At 36.4% G+C, this 11,221-nt stretch overlaps 1 long non-coding RNA gene across 1 annotated transcript, besides 1 other annotated feature; it reads left to right on the forward strand.

Annotated features, from left to right (window-relative positions):
* Positions 3,288 to 4,475: an enhancer, noted in NCBI's record as "VISTA enhancer hs161". NCBI's record gives its function as "enhancer in: hindbrain (rhombencephalon)[3/4]" and the evidence as "EXISTENCE:transgenic organism evidence [ECO:0001131][PMID:17130149]".
* Positions 7,940 to 11,016, forward strand: LOC105371262 (uncharacterized). The gene is made up of 3 exons (XR_933573.1): positions 7,940 to 8,012; positions 9,512 to 9,664; positions 10,725 to 11,016. It is a non-coding gene; the product is annotated as an uncharacterized LOC105371262 (long non-coding RNA).
* Positions 11,017 to 11,221: the final 205 nt, after the last annotated feature.

The following is an 11,221-nucleotide window of genomic DNA, read 5'->3' on the forward strand; positions in this document are numbered from 1 at the left end:
ACTTCGCATGATCTGGAAGGTGTGATTTAAAATGGCAGTGGAATGTAATTTTAAATAATATTGAATCTCTTGGTGAAAAAGTGAATCTTTTTCTATCCTTGTCACTGTTCAAAAAAACTTTGTTTGTTATGAACAGAGACTCTATTTTCTCTCTAACCTTTGTTAATCTTCCTTTTAAAATAAAGACAGAGCAGGGCCCAGGCTCAGAACCTCTAGTATTCAACAGCATCAAGACATAATATGATTAATATTATTAAATGTTATTTGGGTTGTGTTTATGGGTTGCTTTTTATTTATGTCAAATGACACTGTTTTTCACTATATGATAGTGATGTATATTTTTCCTTTTAATTAACTTTTTCTCAAAGAAGTATGAAACAATTTAAAAATACATATTTGGCAAGTCATTCAAATAATATATGGCTATCAGGAACTCACTTACAAGACAGAGAGGGAAGGCAATTTCTTTGGCAGTGTTCAGTCATTACACATTATGCCTAATTTCCAGCACCGGCTCCATCTCTATCTCCAGGCCTCGACCCTCAGAAAGAGGACCTGAAGCCTGAGATATTTGCCATCAGTGAAGAAAAATTTCATTATGGTTACTACACAATTTACTAAGATAGAAAAGTGACTCATACATTTCAGAACAATGTGTCATCACAAAATTTGAAATCAAAAGGGTTCTGAATTACCCAGATGATTAAAATGTCAAAAATAGCCCATTCCTCAAAATTCAGGGTAATTGAATTCGGGTTGATCTTGAAAAAAAAACTTAGATTTTTTTCATTTTTATAAAAGCAATGAGATTTTTCAATATAATATTTGGAAAAAATAGAAAGAAGAAAAATATCACATCATCCATTGTTATATTCCATAAAGAGACAGTAGTACTATTAAGATTTTGGCCAGTTTTCTTCCAGTCCTTTTTTCTCCATTTAATTGTCACACGCACACACACACACACACACACACACATATATATATACACACACAATTCTGTGCCTTACTTCAGCATGAGAGTATAACATTTTCTTTTATATTTTAATTAGAGTTTTATTGTATAGATAATAGAAAAGTAAATAAATCACTTTTAATAAGGGTCTCTATGACCACAATTTCAGTACAAAAAGTACATCTTTTGGGTTGCTTTTGGCTGCAAATAACAGAAAACCCAACTCAAATTGGCTGAAACAATAAAGATATGTATTATCTCACATAACAGAAAACCCAAAGTGGAGTAGATTATTCTACAATGACCGGCTTGACAGTGACAATAGGACCTGGGTTCCTACATCTTCCTAGTGTGAGCTTCATCCTCAGACTGGTAGTAAAAGGGTTCAACAGTTCTAGGTATCAAGGCCAGTTTCCCATGGGAAAAGAAAAAATAATATTTTTACTTAGACCTGTCTTAGAAAAGAGAAAATGTTCTGCAGAAATTCCCCAACAGACTTCCCCTTACCTCTCATGAGATGGAGTTGGGTGACATGCTCACCACTTCTGACCCAGTCATGGGTCAGGGAAAAGAACTTTACCTGATTGGCTTACCTCAAATTCCTTAGGAGGTGAATCAAGTACCTTTCCCTCCAAAAAAAAGGAAAACAGATAGGGAGGTCTTTTTAGCATATTGACATAACAAATAATGTGGTGCAACGTTTAAAGAAGATATTTAACATTTCTCAGTGGCTAATTGATTTTACATAGTGCATAAAATCTAATGAGCTTCTAGTTTAACTCCTAGTCCCTCTGTGTTTTAGTCCATTCTCCTTCTCTGTCTTTATTTACTCACCATTTCCAAGATAATTTTACATTCTAATCAGTCACTATTTTCCCTTGTTTCATAAGTACACATTTTCTTCCCCAATGATGTCCTAATCAGGTTTTACTTCAATTCCCATTCCATATCCAACTCCTGATATTTTCTTATATTTGTAGAGCATCTCTTAGGTAAGCAGAATTTCCCCTCTACCTTTATGGGTTTACCTCCTACAGTAAACATGTCTTGCATTTGTCTGTCCAACATTTACTCCCCTAGTGTCTTGCTGATTGCACCCCACATTTCCATGGAGAAATACACTTCCCCTACTTTCAATCCATATGACTCAAATCTCCAGTCAACAGAGAATCATGATCAGACAGTAACAATGAATACTTCAAGGATGGACAATTGGGTCGATTGAAGTCTGTTAGCCTGAATTCCAGGACTTTTAGAACTGATTTGCTTTTTGTTTGGGTTGCTAATGGGATTTAAATCTGGAAATCCTGGCAGCCATCTTGCCACCAAAGAGACAGCCTGCCTGGGAACGAAGCCAACATAAGTTAAAGAAGATACAAACCAATAGGTGGAGAAGATGAGACTAAACTCTCAGAACAACACTGGATTCCATGGAGCCAGCCATGCTCGAAACACATTCACCTCTGGACTTTTCAGATGTGAACAAAGGCCTTCCCTTTTTCACTTAAGCTAGTTTGAATATAATTCTATCTCTTGCAAACAAGAGAGCTATGGTTAAAATGGCTCCTTCTCCCTCATTCTAATTCTATTCATCCTTCCTCATTCTAAATCTATTTATCTTTAAAGGAGCAATTCAAATGACATCTTCTCTAAGAAGTCTTCCCTAGCCACCCATCTTTACTTCTTTCTCTTTTTCTGAACAATTTCATCTGTTTATTGCCTATTTGATTTTTTAAATGAGTTTCAACCCTAAGTACAATATTCCAATTAGGGGCCATGTTTTATTTTTTTTTTTTTATTCACCTCAAAACCTGAAACAAAGCTTAAAACACAGTAGGTACTTCCTAATTTATTATGTGACATTTCTCAAAAAACTGAACTGGAGATGCTTATTATGCATAGAGTTCTTGGGAAGGGGTCAAGATGCTATTGAACTTTGAAAATATCATGTTGTGAGTTTCTGTCATTTGTCTCCTATGACCCAAGAGGACATATCTATTATTTGGGTCTCTGAGGGAGGTCTCTCAAACCAGAATCCCTCAAACCCAACTGACTTCTACATACTTTGAAAAAACAAAGAAAATAAATGAAAGCCAAAATATCACTCATAAATTAATACAGACCAGCATGGAAGATGACCCATCAGGAATGATGGTCATGTGAGCTTACTAATACTGAATCCCCAAATTAGGAAGACTTAATTTCCTAGTGTTGGCAGCACTGAACCAGGGACGCTTCACCTCCCCACTTCTTCTAGGGTAGAAGGAGAAGCAGAGAAATTATGCTCCCTGTGGACAGCTCACTTCCAAGATAAATAAAGTCAGAACGGAGCCAACTATACCCGGTTGTTCCATTAACAATTACAATCAAATGTCATTCCACCTCCCCAAGCAAAGGATAGAGAGGGTAAGACCATAAGTGCCATACCTAAGGAGTTCCCTCTGCCTTGAAGGAAACATCAAGAGTAGAGAAGAAGCATTCCCATCTCTCAACACATACTCCCAGCCACTTGCTCTAGTCATACCTTAGAGGCATGCGACTGATGGGTGCCAATGGTCTCCTCTTATGTTCCCAGTGATAAAAAAAGAAGCCACAAAGAGATTGTGAGGAAATGATCTAAGAGACTGGGTAATATCACCTAGGAGAAGTAGACATGGTGTTACTTTATAAAAAAAAAAAAATCTCTTTTTTCATTCTTTCAGTCCTGACCTTTTCTTATCCAAAGTTTCTTTCTAAATCTTTTTTTTTTTTCTCATGTTTTTGGGACTATGCTGAAGTGGAATTTTATGCTTCAAGAAGAGAGTTGATGATTCATGGAAAGTGTAATTGACAAAGAGTTGGCATGTTTTTCACTCTTCTTTTTTCTGCATCAACTGAATAAGATTAGTGTCTTACATGGATTATTTTTTCAATAATAGGGAAGGCTATGTTGGCAACAAAAATTGCAAAACAGCAACATCATAGGCTTGCCTAACCATCCAGTGGAAGAGAATTTTCAACTTGAAAAACACTCTTGGTCTAGCAATCCAAGGACCTGAGTAACAATTACGACTGAAATCATTAAGCATCCATGTTTTCTCCTATGGAGAAATTGGATCCTCTAGGGTTCTTAGAGGGAAAAGCAGAAACATTAGGGGAAGACCTTACATAATAACCTTTCTGTAAAGCTTGGATGGCACAAATGATTTTGTAAGACATTCAAGTCACATGTCATTAATCAGAAATGACAGTCTTTATTCACATATATTTGACTGAGCTGCATAATTTTAGACTCCAATAGGTCTAGATAAATGACCCTAAGTATTGTACTATTTCAAATTGACAATGATTGATGATAGAGGAAAAAAACGAATGCTGAAAAGGGACCCTGAAGTAAACATTGAAAATCAGTTGTACTACTTTGGGGAAAAGAAATTTGGGAATTTTCTTCTTCAAGACCTTTCCTCTTTCTTAACATCTCTATCTACTTAACTCTCAGTTTAATCAGTTAGATATTGTCAGGATTTCAAACCACAATGAAAAACAGACTCATTTAGTTATTTTTGTTCAAATAGGTAGAAGAGAAGATAATGATTAATAAAAATGTGTCTATTCTGTAAATATTTCCTGAACCTTTTATACATCCGGCACTGTTCTAGGCACTAGGGCTTCAGCAGATACAGTTTTTGCTTTCTAGGAATGCTCATCTTAGTGGAAAGGGATAGGCAATATCCAAGTGAACAAATAAATAAATGAGATTATTTCAGAGAGCTCTATGTTGTATAAAGAAAATAAAACAGGATGATTTAATAGAAAGTGATGGCGATGGAGATTTCATTTGGAAGGTCAAGAAAGAACTTGCTGGCCAGGTGCAGTGGCTCACACCTGTAATCCCAGCACTTTGGGAGGCCAAGGTTGAACCCAGGAGTTCAAGACCACCCTGGGCAATGTGGCAAAACACTGTCTCTACAAAAATTAATCTACAAAAATTAACCAGGCATGGTGACATGTGTTCGTAGTCCCAGCTACTAGGGACGCTTAGGTGGGATGATCACCTGAGTCCAGGAGTTTGAGGCTGCAGTGAACCGTGATCAAGCCACTGCACCCTAGCTTGGGCAACAGAGTGAGACCCTGTCTCAAAAAAAAAAAAAAATTAAAAAAAGAGAGAAAGGCCTTGATAAATAGATGACATTTTAGCTGAATAGAAGCCAGTTTTTCAAAGAACATATTATGCAGTGAGAGCAGCAAATGCAATGGCCCTGAGGCAGGGACAGGTTGGTCCATGGAAAGAAGAGACAGGAGGCAAGCACTCCCCTTTTCCCGTAAGAAGGGAGAGGTAGTAAGCCAGGACAGAGAGACCGTCAGGGCCAGATTATATAAGGCCTTTTAGGTAGTTTTAAGGAGTTCGAATGTTGGGCTACATGAGGTTTTAATAAAGCAGAAGGAAACCTCAGTTTCACCAAAACAAGACCTATAATTTCTTAAACCCTCCTGAGCAAAGCATTGTGTCTCATATAATACATTTCATTATACAACCTCCTTGCAAAAAAGTTATTGTGTTTTAAAGATAGGGAAACAACAAGCTCTTATCAAGGTTGCAGAGCTAGTAAGTAATAAAGCCCAGATTCAGATTCAAACCTCAGGCCATCTATTTCCAAAGTAAAATACTGCCCACTACCCCCTCATCATATTTTCTTATTTTCTCAAAATATTAAAGGAACAAACACACAATTATATCATATTCTTGGCCCCAATGAAGACATGATAATGTTTACTAGTAGTGCATAATAAAATAATTCATAAGTTCTATGTCAAATGTTTATGTGCATTTTGATCCTTTTTAAAATTTTCTTAATAATTGTGTGAGGCTATTTCTTGCTAATTCTCCCTGGTGAAAAGCTTTCCTTAGAAATAGCTTTCTGAGTAGGAGCCCGTGATGGGCAGGTGTTATGCAATGGCTATTGATTCAGTCATTCAAAGATTCATAGAGTGGACACTATGGTTCTAGATATGAGGGATACAATAGTGAATAGAACAGCAAAAACATATCTCTCCTCATGAAGCTACATTCTAACAGAGGAAACATCTATGTGTCATAATAAAACCAAAACTGCTTTTCCACCAATGATTCCCACAGTACTGGTGTTCCGCCTTTCTTTTCTTTGCTTTGCTTTTGTTTTAAGAAAATAAAACTCATTCTTATTTTTTTGTTAGTATACTTTAAGTTCTGGGGTACATGTGCAGAACATGCAGTTTTGTTACATAGGTATACACGTGCCATGGTGGTTTGCTGCACCCACCAACCCATCATCTACATTAGGTATTTCTCCTAATGCTTTCCCTCCCCTAGCCCCCCCATCCCCCGACTGGCCCTGTGTGTGATGTTCCCCTCCCTGTGTCTATGTGTTCTCATTGTTCAGCTCCCACTTATGAGTGAGAACATGTGGTGTTTGGTTTTCTGTTCTTGTGTTAGTTTGCTGAGAATGATGGTTTCCAGCTTCATCCATGTCCCTGCAAAGGACATGTGCTAATCCTTTTTTATGGCTGCATGGTATTCCATGGTGTATATGTGCCATATTGTATTTATCCAGTCTATCATTGATAGGCAATTGGGTTGGTTCCAAGTCTTTGCTATTGCAAATAGTGCCGCAATAAACCTAAGTGTGCATGTGTCTTTATAATAGAATGATTTCTAATCCTTTGGGTATATACCCAGTAATGGGATTGCTGCGTCAAATGGTATTTCTGGTTCTAGATCCTTGAGGAATCGCCACACTGTCTTCCACAATGGTTGAACTAATTTACACTCCCACCAATAGTGTAAAAGTGTTCCTGTTTCCCCACATCCTCTCCAGCATCTGTTGTTTCCTGACATTTTAATGATCACCATTCTAACTGGTGTGAGATGGTATCTCATTGTGGTTTTGATTTTCATTTCTCTAATGACCAGTGATGATGAGCTTTTTTTCATATGCCTGTTGTCTGCATAAATGTTTTCTTTTGAGAAGTGTCTGTTCATATCCTTTGCCCACTTTTTGATGGGGTTGTTTGTTTTTTTTCTCATAACTATCACTTCTCTGAAAAAATATTTATCTGCTAAACATCCTGGGCTGAAAACAAAACAAAACAAAAACAAAAAACTACAACAATATCAAAAATCCTTACCTGATAATGGCAGAGTATTCATTAAAAAGTAACAAATTTGATTTACCAATTTTCTAATATTGTTACCAAGCAAAACAGGCTCACTGCCTGATGCTCTAGAAGCCAATACAATGACACTGGGTTTTTGAGAAAAGAAAAGGTTTTTATTGAAGGTCAACCAAAAAGGAGACAGGAGTCCAGCTCAAATCTGTCTCCTGGTGCCACCTTCAAGGCAGTATTTTTATTAGAAAATGTTCAAGGGTGGATTCTGGCTTTAGTACATGATTGGGGGAGGGAAAGAGGAGGTCTGGAGAGTCCTCAAGCATGTACTGTTATCTCTTCATGCCTCTTCATGAGTCACACATGCAATTTCAGGAGAAGATAGTATGAACCATGTGGCGGGAATTTGGACTGTGATGTCAGCAAGTTCATTCTGCATAGACTGTAGTCAGCCATATTGGTTCCAATCAATTTCAGCCAGTTTTGTTATCCTACAAGCAGAGGGAGTTCCAGCATTTCAGCAAGTAGTTGTTTTTTTAATCTGTCATCCTACAAACTCAAGAATCTGTTAGGCATTTATTTCTTTAACTCTTTGGAGTACAATTTCAATGTCAATTATAAATTAACATTTTTAAAGCGCATATGGCTAAAAGTGCTACAAAAAAGCTACAGAAAAATGAATAATACATAGTCCTTGCCTTCTATGAGCTTACAAATCCACCAAGAATTGGAAAGAACAAATAAAAAACTGAAAAGATCAAAGACAAGGTGAATATTGGAGTTTCCAGTGCCAAGATTCCAAATCAGAACACTGGAATTATTTCATATAGGAGCTATGTTTAAATCTCACTAGGTGGCATAGTCAAATACAGAGAGTATTACCTGGATCGCATGGCATTAGAAGAGTAGGGTCAATAAAGGAAACAGAAGTCAGGTAAGATAGAGAGATGTGGTCTTAAATTATCTACTATGAGCACCATTGATAGGGATTCTCTTAGTTTTTATTGGGCCTACAAATATCTTTGTTTTTCTTCCTTTTTGAAGGGTATTTTCTCTTGATAGAGAATCCTAGGTTAATGGCGAAGTTTTTGTTTGTTTGTTGGCATTTTAAAGATGTCATTCTATTGTCTTCTGGCCAGCATTGTTTCTGATGAGAAGTCAGCATTCATTCTTACCTTGGATCCCCTATATACAATGTATACTTTTTTCTCTTGCTGCTTTTAAGATTTTTCCTTTATCACTGGTTTTCAGCAATTTGCCTTGTTGTACCTTGATGCAGTTTTCTTTGCATTTATCCTGGTTTTGGTTTGTTGAATTTGTTGGATCTGTAAATTTCAAGTTGTTATCAAATTTGAAATTTTGTGGTCATCATTTCTTAAAACATTTTTTCCTGTTCCTTTCCCTTTTCTGGGATTTCAGTGACACATATTAGGACTTTGTATATTGCCTCATAGGTCAATGAGGCTTTCTTATTTTTATTTTTATTCTTTTTTCTCTGTTTCAGTTTGGTTTGTTTCTATTGCTGTATCTTCAAGTTCACTAATATTTTTCATCAGTGTCTAACTAAGCCAACCCATTGAATTTTTTATTTTCAATATTGTATTTTTTCATTTCAATATGTTTTATTCTTTTTTATATCTTTCATTTCCCTCTTCAACTGCATGCATATTTTTATCTAAATTTTTGAGCCTATATATAAGACCTGTTTTAAAGTCTTGTCTGCTATTTCCATCTTCTCTGTCACTTCTGAGTCTATTTCTATTGATTGATTTCTTGTAGTTATGGGTCACATTCCCCTTTTTCTTATCATTTCTATTATTTTGTAATAGTATTCCAGAAATTATCAATGTTACAATATTGAGTTTCTAGATTTTGATTGTCTTCGAAGAGTGTTGAATTTTGTTTTATTAGGAAGTTTCATGTAGATTTGCTTGTTCCTTTCGAGATTTGTTTGTAAATTTTGTTACAGAGAGTATAGAGTAGGTTTAACTCGAGGGCTACATCCCACTTCTAAGCTATGGCCCTCTGGGCTTTCTACTGAGTGTAAATATTCAACGAATTTTTCCCGTGTGGTATGGGAAAAGTTGAATGTCTCCCAGTCCAGTGTGAGATCTAGGAATTGTTCAGCTTCAGTAGTTTTTCTGGGCTAATCTCATGAAGTTTCTTACTGTGTACATGCATTTTAGTATTTAACCAAAAGGCTCAAGAACTCCTATGAAAATTTTGAGAGCTCTTTCTAAGCATACCTCCTCTTCTTCTGTACTCTGGCCCACAAATTCCAGCTGCCTAGGCCTCCCCAGTCTCCTTATCCTGAACTCAGGGGGTCTGATTTGCTTTCAATGGGCTTTCCCAATTTATTGGAATCCATAAAACGTCTCAAGCAGAAAGTTTTGGTGATCATTAGTCTCACCTCATTGGTCTCGCTTCTTTCAGAACTCACAATCCAGTGCATTTATTGCCCAGTGTCTGAAACCACGGTTAGATAGCAATTACTTCCTCATGGTCAGAGGTGGAAGTCCAGCACCATTAATATGAGAGAGCAGTTTGAAACACAGGATAAATAATATTTCACAGAGAAAAAGATAGGTAAGAGGATCTCTATGGGAAGTAGTACAGAATTCTAGTAAAGGAAATAATTTTTAATGTCTGACAGATCTTCATTCAAATGCTAGATTTGCAATGTGAATGGGTAAAGGGAGGATTAAATGAGATAATGCATGCTAAATCCATAGTATAATACTATCACAGAGAAAAACCCAATCAATATTGTGAGAAATAATAATGGAAAGAATAACTGGGTAATATCTGAAGAATTCAGAGTCTTATGGAATGCCTCAAATAGTGAGGAAATAAAGAATTTTACATGCACACAAAAGAAGAAATTAGTATGACATATAAATGAGAGATGACTTTAAAATCTTTTTTAACCAGATCAGTTTTCCCACATATTGCCTCTGATCCTGTTACTCACACTAGTGAAATATTAGTAACATGATGTTTCAATGATTAGGAAAATAAGAAAACAAGCAAAGAAAACAGCTTCCTAAAGAATAAGCAACTGGAGATCAAGAGTCATCTCTTGTTCATGTGGCATAATTTCCAATTTAAAGCTGGGACCCTATAAATAGCATTTAATATAAAAAGTACACACTAAAATCTTTCATTTGTGCATGCATTCACTCAGTGAGTGTTTAATAAGCATCTTCTCTAGCCTACAACTACAGACTGCATATGAATAGGCATTCTAATCCCCCTTCACTCTTGTCCAGTCCCATGACAGAAGCTATTATACAAATGTCTCATCCCTACTGTAGCAAGTTCCCTGGCATCTGGGTGTGGTCATGTGATAAAGATCTGATATGAGAGAAAATTAATTTTCCCTTCTTCCTTTGGATATTCTCATGTAAGAACTTGATACTTAGAGTACAGACTCCATCTTGCAAATCTGAAGTGACAACTTTGAGTATGCAAAACCAAGAAACTATAGATAGCAGGATGGATGAACAGAAAGAGCTAGAGGTCTATGTATACCATTAAACAACCAAGCCATCCATGAATCACTGACCTCCAGAGCTCTTGTTATGTGAGAAAAGTAAATGTCTTCAGCTGTTAATCCAGTGTTAACTAGGATTTTCTTTTATTTCAGCTAAAATCATCCACATACCATCGAGACTACCAAGATGTCAAGTCAGTCAGATACTTTCTTGGGGGCCTTGAAACAGGAAGATAAGGAATGCAGGCAAATAGCAATAAAGTTTAAATACAGATTTTCAGTAAAATACAGGTTTTTAGGTAAAAAACAAAATGTCCTTCTGGGTCAGTCTTGCAAATCTTAGTGGAATACATAGGATTTAAACTAGAATTCTTGTTGAACCTCTAATATAATTCATGCAAGGTAGAAATAAGAAGTGCAGTACTATTCACAATAGCAAAGACTTGGAACCAACACAAATGTCCAACAATGATAGACTGGATTAAGAAACTGTGGCACATATACACCATGGAATACTACGCAGCCATAGAAAATGATGAGTTCATGTCCTTTGTAGGGACATGGATGAAGCTGGAAACCATCATTCTCAGCAAACTATCGCAAGGACAAAAAACCAAACACGGCATGTTCTCACTCATAGGTGGGAATTG

Source organism: Homo sapiens, chromosome 16 (assembly GCF_000001405.40).
Source record: "Homo sapiens chromosome 16, GRCh38.p14 Primary Assembly".
Taxonomy (NCBI): Eukaryota; Metazoa; Chordata; class Mammalia; order Primates; family Hominidae; genus Homo; species Homo sapiens.